At 49.5% G+C, this 17,936-nt stretch overlaps 1 protein-coding gene across 5 annotated transcripts in view, besides 4 other annotated features; it reads right to left on the reverse strand.

The window, feature by feature from the left end:
- Positions 1-17,936, reverse strand: part of KCNN3 (potassium calcium-activated channel subfamily N member 3) — a 172,827-nt gene that overhangs the window by 46,150 nt on the left and 108,741 nt on the right. The gene's annotated exons all lie outside the window — the stretch shown is intronic.
- Positions 4,689-4,898: an enhancer, noted in NCBI's record as "active region_1782". NCBI's record gives its function as "activates an Ori minimal core promoter by ATAC-STARR-seq in GM12878 lymphoblastoid cells {active_cell/tissue: GM12878}" and the evidence as "EXISTENCE:reporter gene assay evidence [ECO:0000049][PMID:35858748]".
- Positions 5,547-5,596: a silencer, noted in NCBI's record as "silent region_1365". NCBI's record gives its function as "represses an Ori minimal core promoter by ATAC-STARR-seq in GM12878 lymphoblastoid cells {active_cell/tissue: GM12878}" and the evidence as "EXISTENCE:reporter gene assay evidence [ECO:0000049][PMID:35858748]".
- Positions 5,794-6,297: an enhancer, noted in NCBI's record as "H3K4me1 hESC enhancer chr1:154721874-154722377 (GRCh37/hg19 assembly coordinates)". NCBI's record gives its function as "activates a minimal SCP1, AML or CMV promoter by ChIP-STARR-seq in primed H9 embryonic stem cells {active_cell/tissue: H9 hESC(primed)}" and the evidence as "EXISTENCE:reporter gene assay evidence [ECO:0000049][PMID:30033119]".
- Positions 16,908-17,277: a silencer, noted in NCBI's record as "silent region_1366". NCBI's record gives its function as "represses an Ori minimal core promoter by ATAC-STARR-seq in GM12878 lymphoblastoid cells {active_cell/tissue: GM12878}" and the evidence as "EXISTENCE:reporter gene assay evidence [ECO:0000049][PMID:35858748]".

A 17,936-nucleotide genomic window follows, 5' to 3' on the forward strand; every position in this document is an offset into this window, starting at 1 on the left:
TCGGTGGAAAGCGTACTTCAAATTCTGAATGTTGATCTTTTCCTAGGGATCTGTGATGCAATTCTCTCTCCTGATGCTGGGCAGCTCGCAGTTAACCAGGTGATCATGAGTACTCTACAAGGTCCTCTACAGGGCACTGTGCTGCCGGGTGATTTTGCTCAGCGGCAGGCTGACATAAGTGTTCCCAGCACGTTTAAGGTAGGCTGGGCTAAGCTATGATGCTCAGTAGGTTAGGTACGTTCAGTGCATTTTCAACTTATGATATTTTCCACTTACTGTGGGTTTATTGTGAAGTAATCCCATCATAAGTCACGGGACATCTCTACTTAGAAGGCTCTTATCCCAGATAATTTCAGGCCTTTGCACAAATGTCAGCTTCTCAGTAAGGTGTTACCCGCCCACCCTGTCTCCAAGTGCACTACTGCCCCACACCCAGCAGGCCAGCTTCTCCCGAGTCATTCTTCTCCACAGCGCTTATCACCACCTGACATAATAGATATGTGGCCTATTTTTGTATTTATTGACTGACAACCCCTATTACAATATAAGGTTCATGGAGGAAAGGACTTTTTCTGTTTTCTTTACTGCTGTATCCCTAGTACTCAATAAATACTTGTCCAATGAATGAATGAATGAATGAATGGCTCCACTTCGTCTTTCTCACAAGCCAGTGGGACAAGACCAGCAGGATAAGAGCTGTTACCTGATTTTACAGTGAATCAGTGCAAAGCTCCAGTGCGTAACTGACCTAACTAACTTCTCACAGCAACTAAGCGAAAAGACTGGGACTGAAACCTGTATTTTTTCGGCTGCTAAAGATGGCAATTGTAGTGAGCTGGGCACAGGGTGGGGCGTGGAGGCAGCACCCGTGTGCCTGGGCAGGAACCATTCTAGCTTGGCAAAATACCCGCTCAGCCACTGCCAGTAGGTGATGGCCGGGAGGCTCTGTATGTGACTGGCATTCGAAGCTATTAGAAGCCTGAATTAGAAGCTATTATGAAAGGAAAGAGACTTTCATGGAGTCCTGGGTTTTATTCCCATTCCCAGCTCTGCCTTTGTCCAGGTCCCCAATATAATCAACTTCTAATTATCAAGTACCTTCAGCATGCTAGGGCATGTGATTCCAGCTTTATGGAGAAAATGGGGTGAAATCATCATTTCTTAAGGGTATTATGAGTTCCTTTAGTTTAGGAGCATTTCAGAAATGCTTGAGGCGTGTGAAAGAATCCCATTGAAATTCAAAGGCAGCTGAGGAATAAATGGCCTAGGGTGACTTCAGGGCTATTACTGCTTGTGCCAGTGGGTGAATTCACATTAAGGCAAAAAAAAAAAAAAAATAGTTCGTTCTTTTCTCAAAAACAATTTCCCTTATAAACATCTTAAAATGTAAAATAAATGGCTTTGAAGACTCAGGGCTGATCACAAGCCTATCAAACCACGTGCCCAGGACACCACATGCATGTATAAAGCCACCCCTCCATCCACTTCACCTCTGTGTCCTATTTTTCAAGAGTTGGCTTTGAATTTAGGAAAATAACGACGTTTTCCTCTACCAGGTAATTCAAGGTAACAGCCCTGGATCTTTCCAAGGCAACTCTAAATCTAGTCTTTTATTTCCAGCCCTAAGAACTAACAGCATGGTGCAAGGCCTCCAGTTATTTTTAAAAGGAGAGAAAACCAGCACCACCAGAGCACAATGGCTCCAACAAACAAATGCGACTTGCCGCCAAACAACCACAGCTTGTTCTTGCTCTGTGAAAACGAGAGTTTGGTTGGTGTGGCTTTTTCTCACCGAGGTGGTGGCATCTCTGTCTCCATTAGTGGTTTCCTGTAGAAGCTTCTGAGAAACTCTGGAAGAGGTGGGACAGCTGGCTGGTGTCACACAGCTGGATGCAACCTCTGCAGGCCTCAGCGGGGAAGCTTCAACACCAGCACTGGCCAAGCTTTTCTTGGAGTGTGTTTCTCTTCTCTTGGGTCTCTTGGTCTTGCTCAACTTCTCCACCTTGCAAATGGATGCACCATTTGAGGGAAGCCAGCTGCCATTCCTTCCACAGTCCATTTTCTTCTTAGAGGGAAGCACTGTCAACCTCTTTGAAATTAAAAACCAGATGGCTCATCTGGCAAATCCTTCTGAGTCAGTTTCTCAATTTGCAATGTTTTCTTTCTTCTTATTAAAAAAATATTTCCATGTTTCCTGATTTGGAAATGTTTAATAAAATGCATGAAAATGGAGAAAAATAATATGCTTGGAAGAAGCACTGTTCCCATGGGAAGCATGTCTTCCACGGTATCTGGAGATGGCGTGGCAGAGATGGCATGGGCAGAGAGTCCAACAGACGGGGGTTTGGATCCCAGCCCTGCCACCTGTTAGCTGTGTGGCCTAGGGAAGGCGCTTACCTCTCTGTGTCTTGGGCTTCACTTCTGTAAAATGAAGCAGTAAAACCTTGCACGGGACTAGTGAAAAATATAAAACTCTGCATAGTGCCTGACACAAATTTTGGAACTTAGTAAATGAGTTCATTTGGTCAGCAATAGGAATGAGCCCCCTCCTGTGTGCCTGGCTTGGTGCCTACTTGGGAACTTAGAGTTCTAGGAAGAAGGCAGACACCAAGCAACACCAAGGCAAAAAAGGGCCGCGTTACAATGGAGACAAGTGATGCCAAGTTGGGGCACGGGGCCACTGCGCAGGGGACACACGGCTATCTCAGAGGAGCAGGTATGGGTTGGGATGACAGTGCTGCGGGTGGAGTGGCAGGCTCAGGAGAAGGCTGAGGTGAGTTGGAGGGAGAAGCAGGGCGGGGAAAGAACTCTGAGCATCTTCTCAAAGTTGCCAGTGCTGGGGTTTAATAAGCAGAACCCCGTGAACTCACAGGCACAGCTGGCCTGCACTGTTACTCTTGCCCCAAACCCCTCCATCTTCTTCCTCCTTCTCCTCTATTTTTCCTGCCTTTGCCCCTCTCTGTTCTTTCTTCTTCTCTTTCATGCTTCTTTTTCTTTTTTTCTCCTTTGAAGCACTGTCTCCACCTCCCTCTCATCTCTCCTCTCTTGTTTTCCCTTTCACTTGTTCAGTCTCTCTCCCACCCTCCCCTGTGAGGACCCACAGAGGAAGCTCTGCCCTAGAGGGAAAGGGTTTCTGCCTCCAAGGAGCTGGCTATCCCTTGGGGACATCAGTCTTTGTTTGCTTCAGGTTGATTTTGCTTAATCAGCAAACTTGCATTTTGCACCCACTGGGTGGCCAGATACAGATGGCATCAAATGTCACCAGGCAGAATCCTGTGCTGTAAAGTGGGGAGGGTAACATCTGGAGTAGGTGCATGGGTCCCCCCAACGTGGGACATCTCTGGAGGGGTGGCAGGTAAACTAAGCTCAACCGATCCCCAACTCTGCTCATTACCTGCCCTCTCCCTGCTGCCCAGGTCCCCTGCAACCCCGGCCCTCTTCCTCCTGCACCTCCTATTCGTGGGCAGTCCCACCAGCTATCCAGCCAGCCACACTAGGACACCAGACACTGTTCCTGAGCTTCCTCCCCATCACTCCACATCCAGTGAGTCAGTCCGGTGGAGGTTGGCTCCTCTAGCTCTCTCAAAACTGCCCTTGCTCTTCATCCCAGCCACCACTGTACCCAGGGGTGGTGGGGGCAGCATTCTGTTACTACAGCAGCCTCCCCAGCTGGTGTCCCGTCTTCCCCTCAAATCCCCCTTCCACACTGCAGCCAGGGAAATCTTTCTGAAACTCCAGACCCTCCCCTGCTCCCAATCTACCAGTGGCTCCCCCTCTCCTAGGTGTGGGAAGAGGAGAGGGGACGTTCTCAGCCTCTGCACAGCGACACACTGGGGCAGACAAACAGTCTCTCTGGGGCTAATAGTAGTTGAAGGATTGACATTTGTGAACGATTTATTTTTTTTGTTATGGCAGTTTCAAGGCTATCCTGTGATAATATCACTCTCGCTATCTGGTACTCTGATTTGCTTTCTTCAGTGGAAAGGAAGGGCCGGGACTCCAGCTAGCCTGATGGAAATGATTTATAACCTGGGGCACACCCACAGCAGAAGTCGGCTGTCTGAATATCATCTCTCCTGCATCGCTGGAATCAAAGAAACAAGTACATAAATAAGGTTGGAAACTGTTGGCTGATAGAAGAGTCATTCCAAAATCCTTAGGCTGGTGAAAAAGGCCCGTGCCTGCTCCTGTAGCGTTGAGTGCACTGCCGCATCTTATGACACCCCAGCAAGCAACTGCTTATTCTCTCCTCCAATCCATGCTCCCCCACCTCCGAGCTTCCCTCATGCTGGCCCCTCTGCCCGGAGGCCCCTTAGGCCTAGGAAATCACCTCCTCCGGAAAGCCGTCCCGGATCAAGTGCCCTCTGTGGAGCCCCTTCTTCCCCATTCTCCCTCACTTCTCACCACCGGCTCTTGGCCATCTCCACCCCCAGCACCAGCCTCCATTGGTTGGTTGGTTTGTCGGTCGGCAGGTGCTGAGAAAGCTGGTCAGAGCTACTGAAGGAAGCTGTGAATGAACAAGGACTTAGGGGAAAGTGACGTTTAAACCTGGTCTCATCTCACTCCCTGCTGTGGGCCTCTGCTTTCTGTTTAAAGCCATTCTGGGTCTCTGCTTGCTCTCACAGCTGCTGTCTGTCTGTGGTTTTCATTGAGCTCCACCCGCCCGGGGCCCTCAGTCTGCCGCCCGCGCCTGCAAGCTTTCTCTCTCCTGGTTGAGCCTTTCCCGACATCTGCCATCAGTCACAGAGCGTGACTTGGAAGCAAAGGGGCTTCACAGTTCATCGTTTTTTATATACAGAGAGAAGAACAACAGTAGTTGGGATTCTTGCAAAATACTTCCTCAAAGATCTTAGAGATGATCTACTTCTCATTTCATTTTATTTCTGGGGCTATCTCTGTGTGGTAGGTAAGACTGGATGCTAATCTTATTTGAAGAGATAACAATAATCACTATCATTTCTCAAGTGCCAATCACGTGCCATGTGGGCCAAAGCTTTATGCGCATTACTGAATTTAATCCTCAAAAAACAAGACTCATAACTGTCACTTCCTATTTTACTGAATTGGAAAATTAGACCAGGTGCAGTGGCTCATGCCTGTAATCCAAGCACTTTGGGAGGCTGAGACAGAAGGATCCCTTGAGCCCAGGATTTCAAGACCAGACTGGGCAACATAGTGAGATGCTGTCTCTACAAAAAATGAATAAAATTAGCAGGGCATGGTGGTACGTGTCTATAGTCCCAGCTATTCTGGAGGCTGAGGTGGGAGGATCACTTGATTAATTACTAGATTAGGAAACTTGCACAAAATAAAACATCAATTGAGTGGCAGGGCCCGAGTGTGTGCTTGGACTTGCCTGCATCCACAGCCCTGTCTTTGACCATATTGCACCTTGGAGGAGCCCTGTCTTTGACCATATTACACCTTGGAGGAGGTGGAGACCTAAAAAGGGAGGTGAGATGAGTGGAGAGACTGGTGGGGATTCTCTCTCTCTCAGGTATCTCATCCTGGATCTGTGTTATAATGAGCCATGCTTCCCAGGAGAGTAAGACAGAGCCAGGGCTGCCCTGTTCAGCAGCATAGGTTGCGCACTGTGCAACTCCAAGGAGTGCCAGTCACGAAGACTTCAATGTGAATGGCACCCCCTGGAGGGAAGTGCTGCATAGGCAGTGCTCCTGGCAAGAGCCCTAAAGAAAAGACGGGTGTCTTGCTCTTCTCAGTTATGCTTTCCAAAGATAATTAAAGGCAGGCAGCTCCCCAGGCAAGCAAATGTTGTGGAAGGCACACAAAGCTGCAGCCTCACCTAGGCAGGGTTAGTGTGGGAAGGACGTGGGAATCACCCTGTGACCAAGAACAAAGAGGAACAGCACAGAACAAGTACCCTGGGAAGGAATTTTCTTGTTTTTGTTTCCCAGAGCAGTGGGGTTCCCAGGGCAGGACGTGGGAGCTCTGGTTGGGCGTCTTTCCCTGCCACAGAGAAGACAGGGTGCCAAGGAGGAGCCTGGGACGTCAGGGCGAGTGGGAAGAATTCTGACTCAGCAGAGGTTGCAAAGTAGCCCCCAGGGAATCAGAGAGAGAGGAAGATAGAGAAAGAGAGGGACAGGGATGGAGACAGAGACAATGGCTGGAAGGGGAGGAGTCTGAGGGCAAGGGCACCTGGGTGAGGGTCTGGCCTGAGCATGAGGGGCCTGAGGACAGGGATATGCACAATAATGCCCTGACCCGGGGTCCCCACGGCCGTGGGGCTTGGGGAGACTACGGGATGCTCCCGGACCACAAGCAGCCTGCCCAGGGAGTGCAGCTGTCCCTGACCTCTCGCCTCTTTCCATAGGCCTGGGCTACGCAGAAAGGCACATTTCCCTGCTTTCTGGGAGTGGGCTCTGGCCAAGTGAAGCGTCACGAAGTCTGGGATGGGAGTAGTTTCTCAGGGGCTGGTCCGGCCCCAACTGCCCACAGCCAAGTCACCTGAGCCTTGGTTTACATGATTAACTGAAAATTCTGGTACACGTCAGGAATAAAGCTAATTCCGAAGGTCAACACTATATGGAGAAAGGAATGGAGACAGCCAGTCGCACACACTTTTCCCTCAGAAGGGCCTTTCTTGCTGGAGAAGCTTCTAAAGCCTCGAAGCTGGTGCACCCCAAGCTCTGGAGAGCAGCGGCTGGAAGGGAAGGCTCCAGGCCTGGTGCTCAGGCCAAGGGCCTCCTGCACCCCTCCTCACCCATTTCCTCGGCCCCAGGAGCAGAATGAAAGAGATATGAAGAGACAGATTGCCTTCAGCAATCCTTTTCTCTGCCTCTTGAACTGAGAGATTCTTACTTAAGGAAAGGAAGGAGCAGGATAAAGAGATGACCCATCTGGAGATGCCTTCTCACCTGTGGGGTCTGAAGGGAATAGAGCAAAACCCCCTTCGCATCAACTCTCACAGCTCTGGGCCTCCCTCTCTTCATCTGGGAAGGGTGGGGGGCTGGGTCCATGTGCATTAGGGCCCCTTCCAGCTCTAAGGAGCTGTAATTCTCAGAGAATGTTTTCTTACCCGTTTCCCACACTAGATGGAGAGCTGGTTAGGTAGGGGAGTGGGCAGCTGCAGCCCTGATCCTTGATAAGGGTCTTAAGAGACCATCTTTGAAGACACAGATGCCCAGGAGGCTTGCCCTAAATCAGCCTCATGGTGACAAGTGTCGTGGCTGTGCTCGGGGTCTCTGCATACAGTGGGATTCTCCTGGGGAGCATCAGCTCAGAGGCCCAGGACCCCCTCAGCTTCTGAGCTTTCCTGGGGCGGTGAGAGCAGCCCTGGACACGTGGCTGAAGGCCTGGGCAGCAGGGGCCTGCCTGCTGTGTCAGCTTTACCATCAGAGTCACTGAGTCTTGGGGCTCCCTCTAGCCCAGTTCACCTCATTCTTTTTAGATAAGCAAATGGAGGCCAGAAAGCGGAGAACTGGGCATCTGGTGCACTTCTCACCACATGCTGCCTCTTTCTAGCCACAGGGCATCAGATGTGTGAGCTCGGCAGAGTCCAGTCCCAGGAGAGAGACCCTTGGCTGGGAGCTCAGACCCGCCCAACTCGCGGTGTGAGTCTGGACAAGTTGCTTCCCTTCTTTGGGCTTTGGTTTCCTCGTGTGTACAATATGAGGATTTGGCTAAAGAAGCTCTAAAGCCCCCTCCAGCTCTAAGTCAGGTGTTTTTTTGGATCACATTCTGTCCCCCTTCTCTCTCCCACTCCCATTCTCGGGACAACTAGCAGCTGGGCTGACTGCAGAGGCAAAAGCCAGGTGTCTTTCCAGACAGGAGGCCTGTGGCATCCCGTGCAGACAAGATGAAGCAAGAGTCAGCACCAGTGGAAACCACCTAGCAGCCTTCATCCAGGCTGGCCATGCCTCAGGGAGCTGCAGCAGGTGCCTCTCAAGTTACACAGAACTTCTGATGGCTCCTAACCCAAGGCTTTTCACCACTGGACACCTGGGGTGCCTGAAATGGGGCAGGAGAGGGCGTGCCAGTGCCAAGGCTATTATAAAAGAGTAAGAATGGCAACACTCAGAGTCACCATGGAAGCCAACCTGTCTGTCTGTCCCCCTCCCCTGACTCCTCCCCATGACCCCAGAGAAGCTCCCAGAGACTCCTTCGTCCACTGCATCCCCAGCCTGGCTCTGTTTTAAGGGAAGCAGCCACCACAGAAGATGCTTGTTACACGTTGCCAGGCAACAAAAATGCTGCCTGAAAACTAAAACCCACCTCTGACTCTTCATAGGACTGGAAACTGGCAGATGAGAGGAGCCTGCCAGGGAACAAAGGAGAAGCATCGAGAGGGAAATGATGGAGTTGAGCAACCACAGAAGGCAAAATGAAAGAGCCCAGACAGTTGTGTAAAGTGCCAGAAAGCAAACAGATGGGGAGGAAAAACTGACTCACTGAAATTAGGAAGACAGACAGAGAGAGGAGGCATGGAGGAAAGTCCTCCGGGTGTTAAGTCCTCGAAAGGCCTCCTTTATTTTTTTTCTTTTTGGCCAAATCTGTCATGAGTAGAGATGAGGCTGTTGATAAGGAAGATGATGACAATGATGACGATGATGATTCCTTAGGTGAACTCTGGTCTGCTTTTATCCAGTGCGTGATTTTTATTAGATATCCCTCAAGCAATGGCACAATTCTCCACAGACTTTCAGAAAACATAATTATCCTCTAAAACGAAGATCTACACTGCCATTAGCACCATCAGCTCACCCAAATATAGGGACATCAGCTTGTTAGCTGAAGTGACCTTGGGCTCTGGGATCTTCAAGCACTGAGCAGATGAAGGAAGGAAGGAGTGATGTTCAGTCTGGACAGCCATGCCCAGCTGGCAAGGGAACCTCGGAGAATGGGAGTGCTCCAGGTGGAGGACTCTGCGGGCAGCAGCCCCGGGCCAGCAGTGAGACCCTGGCTCGCTTACCTCCCAAAGCCTCCATTTCCTAATTTCTAAAATGGGAAAATTGCTCCTGCCCTGCTTACTTCACAGAGTGCTGGGCCACAGAGGAGAACCTGTGTAGAATGAATGGCCATGAACGAAGATAGTGCTCCTTATTTATTAAAAAACAATTCCTAGCCTCCTACAGAGGCTGGGCACTGTAGCAGACATTATCACACAGACATGCCCCCTGCTGGGGGCGAGGCAATTAAGCAACTCCACACTATGGTGGGGGAGTTACCCCACTGCTCTTGGCCTCAGTTTTTCCATCAGGGAAATGGAGATAACACCACAAAGCATTCCTATGAGGACACTGCATGTCAGAAGTTTCTCCTCCCTCGGCCTGTGGTCACCCTTGACTAGGCTCCGAGCACCCGGCTCAGACTCACCTGCCTCCAGTTCTGCATCACGTGGCCTCAGGGACAGGCCGGGCACCTCAGGAATCTATCCTCTAATTTCTGAAATAATGAAAAGCCTCCAGACACATTTACTCTCTAAATAAAATGCACAGTTTAAATTATAAACAAGACAATTTAAGAATACTGGTAACTAAGTGGGAACAATTTCACATGTTAAACTTGACAAAATAATTCTAAAGCTACTACTCAGTTAACTATATTCACATCTACTTAACTCAGTAAGTTTGACAACATAGATGTTTACTTTATTAAGTTTGTTATACATTTTCTCCAAAAAAGTCTAGCCAGTCACCAGACCCCACCCCACCCCTCGAAAACAGACATCATGGCATTCAAGGACAATGAGCCGCTTCTGCCTGTACTTACTAATAGGCAGTGGCTTCCCCCTAAAAATCACTGTTTTTCTAGAACACCAATCACAATTCCTTTCCTAGGTACCAAACAGCATGACCTCAAAGAAATTAGAAAATGACTGCACAGTCCAAGCTGAAAGAAAAACTTTGCGTCTTATGTTCTTTCTCCTTTTGTCTCAACACAGACTCACTCTGTAACACACCTCCCCAGTGGAACACATACCCCAAAAGCCCTGCCACAGGCGATCGGGGTCCCAAGGGCCCAGGCCTCCTCCACTGCCCTACAAGTCAGGGCCAGGGCAGATCATGAGCCTCCTTGAGCCACCACATCCTCATCCACGAAATAGGGACCGTGGGTTCCCCGTCCTGCCTGCTCACTTCATAGGGTCGTGGTGAAAAACAGAAGAGGATGTCCAGTGTTTTATGTTTCCCCCAGCTGTTCAGGTCTCCTCTTGTTTGAACTTCCTAATCCCCTGGGAAGCAGGTAGACCAGGCTTACTTCCTATCTACAGATCCCAAGAAAGAGGCCCAGGAAAGGAAAGGGCTCAGGGTTTATCAGGAACCAGCCAGTCGCAGGTGCTTATTTAATAGAGGGCAGGTGACTTGCCCAGGATCGCACAGCTGGTCCGTTGTCAAGCCAGGCTATGAGCGCACGTTTCTGACTCCAGGGGCCATGTGCTGTCCCTTCTGTGAGCAATAAAACCTTCCATGTAGGAATGCAAAGTATCATTATTACCATTGTTGCTGATGTTACTAAAATTGAACCAAACCGGTTTTATCATGGGTTGACTGGAATTGCATGATGGAGGGCCTTGGTCACTAAATTTAAAAATATGGACTTAATCTTCTAGAGGGAGCAATTGAAGGTTTTTGAGGGGTAATAGTAGGAACGGTAACTGGAAGCCAGAAAAGCTACTTCTGTAAACTGGTGTAAGATGACAGGGATCTGTGTCAGGGAGGTAGCAGGAAGAGATGACTTCAAGCGACACCGCAGAATAAGAACCATAGAGCTTGGTGCCTAAATAGAGGGCTGGAAATGGGGCTGGGAGTGGCATAAGGATGGGGAACGATTTGAGCCTGAGAGATGGTTGCAGCCCAACAGCACGTCTCCTCTTCTTCATTAGTAAGAGCGCCCAGGAAGGAGCAATGATTACCAATAATAAAGACTACATTTTCCCGCCATGTGAATGACCAACGGATGTAAATGAAAGTGACATGTGTTACTTCGAGGAAATGTCCTTAACAAGAAAGAAACAACCTTATTTTGTCCATTTCTCTTTCCTGATGGCTAAAAGGTAGGTGGGATGGCTGGAGCTCCAGCAGCTTTCTTGAAGTATGAGGAAGAAGCCACGTACCAACGATGGCAGGGCAACAAGGGAGAAGGAGCCTGCGTCCCTGATGATGCCATAGAGCAGCATACCTGCTATAGACACCTTTCCGGACTTCTTTGGCGTCAGACAGAACTTCTGTTTTGTTTAAGCTATTGTTGTTTTGGGTTTCCTATCACTTGCAGCCTAAAACGAATACTAACGGGTAAAGTTCCTGAGAAAAAGAAGACACAAACAGAGAAGCAGAGAGAGAATTTAGGGGCAACATGATGAGTTTGATCACAGATTTGATGCGTGGGACATCAGTACAGGAGAAGATGTATATAAAACTTGGCATGGTGCAGGGATGTATTCAAGAACTCTACACCGCCACCACCGCCCTTCTAAGTCACTTTTGTCTGTTGCCTGGCCTGCTGCAGTAGCCTTTTTAGTCCTCCTAGTAGTTTTCTTGCCACCTCCAATTTACTCACAAAGATGCCAAAGTAATATTTTTAGAAGCAACCATATTGTATTACTCTCCTATTTAAAACCCTTCAAAAGCACCAGGCATGGTGGCTCACACCTATAATCCTAATACTTGGGAACCTGAAGTGGGAGTATTGCTTGAGGCTGGGAGTTTAAGACCAGCCTGGGCAACATAGAGAGACTCTGTCGCCAAAAAATTTTTGTATTTAGCCAGGCATGGTGGCTTATGCCTGTAGTCCCAGCTACTCAGAGGGCTGAAGTGGGAAGATTGCTTGAGCCCAGGAGTTAAAGCCTGCAGTGAGCTGTCATCATGCTATTGCATTCCAGTCTGGGTGACAAAGTGAGACAAGAAAGAAAGGAAGAAAGGAAGGAAGAAAGGGAGAAAGAAAGGAAGAAAGAAAGAAAGAAAGAAAGAAGAAGAAAGGAAAGGAAGGAAGGAAGAAAGAAAGAAAGAGAGAGAGAGAAAGAAAGAAAGAAGGGAGGGAGGGAGGGGGAGGGAGGGAGGGAAGGAAGGAAAGAAAGAAAAGAAAGAAAGAAGAAAGGAAGGAAGGAAGAAAGAGGGAGAGAGGGAGAAGGAGAAGGGAGAAGAAGAAGAGGAAGAGGAAGAAGGAAAAGGAGAAGAAGAAGGCAAAGAAGAAGAAGGAGGAGGAGAGGTGGAGGAGGAGAGAGAGAGGGGAGGAGGAGGAGGAAGAAGAAGAAGGCAAAGAAGAAGAAGGAGGAGGAGGGGGAAAGAAGGAAGAAGGAAGAAGAAGGAAGAGGAAGATGAGGAGGAAGAGGAGGAAGAAGAAGGAGGAGAAGAAGAAGAGAAGAAGAAGAGGTGGAGGATGGGGAGGGGAGGAGGAGGAGGGGTTGGGGAGGTGGAGGAGGAGGAAGAGCAAGAAGAACAAGAAGCCAAAGGCAAAGAAGAAGAAGACGATGATGAAAAGGAGGAGGAGGAGGAAGAGGAAGAGGAAGAAGAAGGAGGAGGAGGAGGGGGAAAGAAGGAAGAAGGAAGAAGAAGGAAGAGGAAGATGAGGAGGAGGAAGAGGAGGAAGAAGAAGGAGGAGAAGAAGAAGAGAAGAAGAGGTGGAGGATGGGGAGGGGAGGAGGAGGGGTTGGGGAGGTAGAGGAGGAGGAAGAGCAAGAAGAACAAGAAGGCAAAGGCAAAGAAGAAGAAGACGACGACGATGAAAAGGAGGAGGAGGAGGAAGAGGAAGAGGAAGAAGAAGAAAAAGAAGAAGAGGAGGAGGAAGAAGAAGAAACAACAAGTAAATAAAAAGATAAAACTCTTTAAAGGCTTTCCACTGCACTTAGGTTCAACCCCACAACATGGCACTCAGGGCCCTTCACTTTCAGCCTCCTGCCCCCTTCTGCGGCTCAGTCCCTGCCACACCCCCCTTCATCTGTTTACTCTCCTTCCAGTGACTCCTTCCCCCCGGCTCCTTGCCAGCTCAGGGCCTTGGTGCAGTCTTCTCATTCTTCTCAGAAGGCTCACCCTCTTGGTCTGTGAAGGGCTCATTTCCTCTCATCCTTCAGACCTCAGCTGAAGCATCACCTCCCCAGAGACACCTCCAAGCAGGCCCCAGATGAGTAGGATCCCAATCCAATGCCATAAATTTTTTTTTAAAAAAGAATCATTGCAAACTTCTTTTTTCCACTTTCACAGTATATGTCATAGATTTGAAATTATCTACTTTTTGTTTCCTTACTTGTTACCTGTCTTCCCTGGTAGACTGTAAGCCCATGAGGGAAAAAATCATGTGTGTTTTATGCTTTAAGATATATTTAATTCCTAGCACAGTGCCTGGTGAATAGCAGAGCTCCACACCTATACATAACAGTATTATTATTTAGCAAGTCTCTCATGAGAGCACTGCAGCTCAGAGAGAGGCGTGGCTCAATGCTCCACTTGGGATGCATGGATGCATTCCTGTGAGAGTGCCTGCATTCTCCGGGAGCAAGCATGATGAAGGGAAACGGCAGAGGAGGGAGAATGTCCAGGTAAAGGACAGACCTGTGTAGGAAATAGGGTATGGGGGGAATCAGTATGAGATGTGTCCAGAGAGCAGGAGAGATCTCAACTTCAGTGCTCAAACAATCTGTTGAGAAATCTGCGGGAGCCTGAGAAACTAACTATTGCTTTTATCAGCAGGAAAACTAAGGCAGAGAGAAATGGACTTCAGGCCAGCCCTCAACTCCCTTGCTAAAGCTGGAAACAGGACAGGAGCCTCTTGTCTCTTTGAGTCCTGGCTGGTTCCCACGTGGCTGAACCACTCCTCTGGCCTTACTGAGCTGTGGCTCTTATCTGGTAGTGGCCATGTGGAACAAGGGTGCAAGTTGCTCCCTGCAGGATTCAGGCTAAACAAGGCCCTTACAATTGTATTGAAGAAAAGTTAACAATAGAGCATGGGGCTATAGAATGGAACTGTCAAGAGTGCCCAATCTAAACAGAGATGGGCCCTGGGTCTCGCTCCCTAATTCCCAGGCCATTATGCCTGGGAGCCCTTTGCCCTAAGAATATGGGCCACTCTCAGGCTGCATTAAAAGGAAAATAATGCCGAGGAAATGGGAGGATGCCTAACACTTGGGGCACTATGTTCGTTCTGGGGCCTTCGCTTCATGAGGACACTGATGACCAGGGGAGGAGAGTGAGCGAGAGGGTGGAGTCTGACCAGAAGTCCTGTGACAATGGTTGAGGGGACTGGAGACCACTGGGTTGGAGCAGAGAAGATTCAACCTGACTTTGGATACTCAAGGGACCTTCAGTAGAAAAAGAAATACCTGGCTGCTTCACTGGGTACTCACCGTGTGCTAAATGTTCTACACTGTGCTAAGGGCTTTTTGTGAATTATCCCCTTTCCTGGCCCAACGTCACCTGCTAGTAAGAGCATAAGCAAGGCTCCACGCTCACATCTTCCCAGAGGTCAATGGCTTAACCGCCAGCCTATGGTACTTGAACTTCTTTCGTGCGGACCCAGAGAACTGAGTTAGGACCCAAGACAGAAACTACACGTTTTAACCAATATTAACCAATAATAGGAAGAGATTTCTAAGTCAGAGCTGTCTGCAAATGGATTGGATAGTCTTTTAAAGTAGTGTCCCAGAGGGTGTTCAAAAGAGGCTGCATGACTCTGGTCAGGTTAAGTACAAGTGCAAGGTTAATGGTAGAACCAGGGGTCAAACCGAGTTTTTCCACCCTGAGTTCAGGCAGTCCTGATCACAGGATGGATCCTGTGCTGGTGCGATTGCCACTGTGTACTAGGTGTTTTCCCCTTGGCTCAGCTGAAACATGTTTAAGATATTTAAAAGGAGTTTTACTAAGTTCTGTGCCCCCTCTATTGTGGGAGTGTCAGAGCCCATCTGGGCCCGTTGCAGCATGTCTGGCCCTGTCTGAGAGGGCCCGCAGGGGCTGTGTTACCAGGCGGCTCCCAGGCGCCTTTTGGGAAAACAAAATGACCAGGTGTGTTAGGGCCAGCAGGCTTCCAGGGCCACTACTCAAAGGCAGCCAGGGGACTTTGGCTGCCCTTAAACTCTCTGTGCAGTGGGGGGCAAGCAGGCATCCAGACCGAATGGAACGAGGTGGGGTACTCAAGGAATATGGCATGTCTCACCCATATTCCCTCTCAGCTCAGCCTCTGGGGGACTGGGGCCAAGTCTCAGGGAACAGAGGAGTCTGTATTAAATGGAAGGAGAACATCGTTTTGTTTTTGTTTTTGTTTTTGTTTTTGTTTTTGAGATGGAGTCTTGCTCTGTTGCCCAGGCTGGAGTGCAATGGTGTGATCTCGGCTCACTGCATCCTCCACCTCCTGAGTTCAAGCGATTCTCTTGCCTCGGCCTCGTGAGTAGCTGGGATTACAGGCGCTCACCACCACACTGGGCTAATTTTTGTATTTTTAATAGAGACAGCGTTTCGCCATGTTGGCCAGGGTGGTATGGAACTCCTGACCTCAGGTGATCTGCCCACCTTGGCCTCCCAAAGTGCTGGGATTACAGGTGTGAGCCACCATGCCCGGCCAAAAAAAATCACATTTTTAAAAACCCTTCTAGCAGCTGCGCTATGTGAGCCAGGAATGCAGGGCTTTACCCCAGCCTGGCGCGGGGGCCCCAAGCTGGCAGTGGAGGGCAGGGGAAACACAGGGGGGTGAAGAGCTGCGCTCCTGAGAGCCAGCCTAGGACACCAAACTCATGGAGAAGGGGCCCTGTGGAGCTGAGGTGCCCGTCCTTTGAGGGAGGGGTCTGCACCGGAAATGTAGGGCACAATGGGATCACGAGGGGCAAACAAAACAACCCCAAAGTTGAAGGATGGAAAAGCTGACAGAATATGGATTTCCTGCTTGACTAATGTCAGCCCACAAATAGATGTGGCTGACGTCACTTACAGGAACCCCTTCCTTTTCCTTACCTCAGCCCCTCCAAGGAGGTGGGTGGGGGAGCGGGTGAGAATGAAGCCCCATGCCCTTAGGCATCCGCTGTAGGAAAGGAAGTCACTTCTCTCCTACACACCCAGCATGGCACTAACTGTCACTGTGTACCATCTTTGGCAGACTTGGGAAGGAATTCATTCCAGTGACAAAGGTCAGATAGTCCTCCCCAGTTAAAGAAGGAACCCTGGCATTTAACTGGGTCTCCCTAAGGCAAAAATCCTGGAGACAAAAGACACTGGTGACTTCCCAGCAGAAGAGAGTGAAGGGAAACCCAGGTTTGGTGTAATGCAGCAAATAATTTGGAATAATTTGGGGATTGACTTGACTGAAAAAATGGAATGGTTTCTCAATGCAATATGGATTTCACTTTGCACCCACAGTCCCAAACTTAGTGCTTCAGAATGCAAATTTTATGGAAATTTTCCTTGCTTTACCAGTTTCTTTTTTATTTTATTTTCTCTCTCTCTCCCACTTTCTTTCTCCTCTCTTTCTTTTCCTTCTTTCTTTCTTTTTGAGACGGAGTCTCACTCTTGTCTCCCAAGCTGGAGTGCAATGGTGCGATCTTGGCTCACTGCAACCTCCGCCTCTCAGGTTCAAGCGATTCTCCTGCCTCAGTCTCCCGAGTAGCTGGGATTACAGGTGCGCGCCACCACGCTGGCTAATAATTTCCCTATTTCTTGATTCTCCTTTCTAAGAGATATCAGCCATTACTTATAATAGCTAAGTCATGTATAATTATTTAATATAAAAGTACGAAAAAAACTAGCCACGAATGAGCAGTTTAAGTGTCAAAGGGCACAAAAATACTGCCAATGAGGAAGAGGAAAGAACGGCTGAATACGAGATCACAGAACGAGAAAGCGGCCGCGGAGTGGGACTGGAGACTGTGAATCACGCAGGTGAAATCAGAATGGGATCCCACTCGAGACAGGAGCCAGGAGCTAGCAGCAGCCCTGGAGCCGCCGGCCCAGCCCTGAAGCCGCTCCGGCTGTCGCCACAGCGAGAGGAAACCTGAACGCTCTGCTCCTCCACAGCGAGTCCCTGCAGGTGGGGACACCGCCCACCTGGCCCTCCCTGCGCCCCCTGGCGGAGCGAGCCTCGGCCTCTCCCGGGCCCCGGCCTCTCCACGACCGCCTGGCCGCGCGGGAACCACCCGCGGACTCGCGGCCTCTCCCCACCGGACCCCGCAACACCGCGGGGACGCCCGGGAGGCTACTGAAGAGCCAGTGGCGCCTGCCTCGATCACACGTCCCCTGTGGAGCTCCACCTGCCCGCACGCCGGCTCGGGCGCTCCCATAAGCGGCCGGCCGCAGAGGGGCTCCAAGGGAGGCGCGCGCCCGCGAAGAAGCACTCCGGCCCCGCAAAGGCGCCCCGCGGCCCTGTCCACCAAGGCCACTGGCCGACGGGTCGGAAGAGAGCCCTTCAAGACGGAACTTGCATTGCGCTTGTTAGAGAAAATTATGTGTAAAAACTGAGCCATTCAGCTTTACTTTCCACCCCGCGTTGATGTAAAACATGAGTTCCTATGGAAGATGAGGGGCTTCGTCAAGTGTGTAAAAACAAATGCTACCTCTTTCCATTAAAAATTTATATATGTATATTCATTCTCATTGTTGAAAATACAATAAAAAGTAATAAAAAATCACATGTAACGTCATAAGAAATCAACTTAATGTTTACATGTATGAAAATCACATGTACACCTTGGGAAGCTGAGGCGGGCGGATCACCTGAGACCAGGAGCTGCAGACCACCAGCCAGGCCAACATGGCGAAAACCCATCTCTACTAAAAATACAAAAATTAGCCGGGCATGGTGGCGCACGCCTGTAATCCCAGCTACTCAGGAGGGTGAGGCATGAGAATAGTTTGAACCCAGGAGGCAGAGGTTGCAGTGAGCCAAGATTGCGCCACTGCACTACAGCCCGGATGACAGAGCGAGACTCTATCTCATAAATAAATAAATATTACATGTAACACAAAGAAATCAACTTAATGTTTCTATGTATTTTCCAGGTATTTCTG

The sequence above is a fragment of the Homo sapiens genome, chromosome 1, assembly GCF_000001405.40.
Source record: "Homo sapiens chromosome 1, GRCh38.p14 Primary Assembly".
Lineage (NCBI taxonomy): Eukaryota > Metazoa > Chordata > Mammalia > Primates > Hominidae > Homo > Homo sapiens.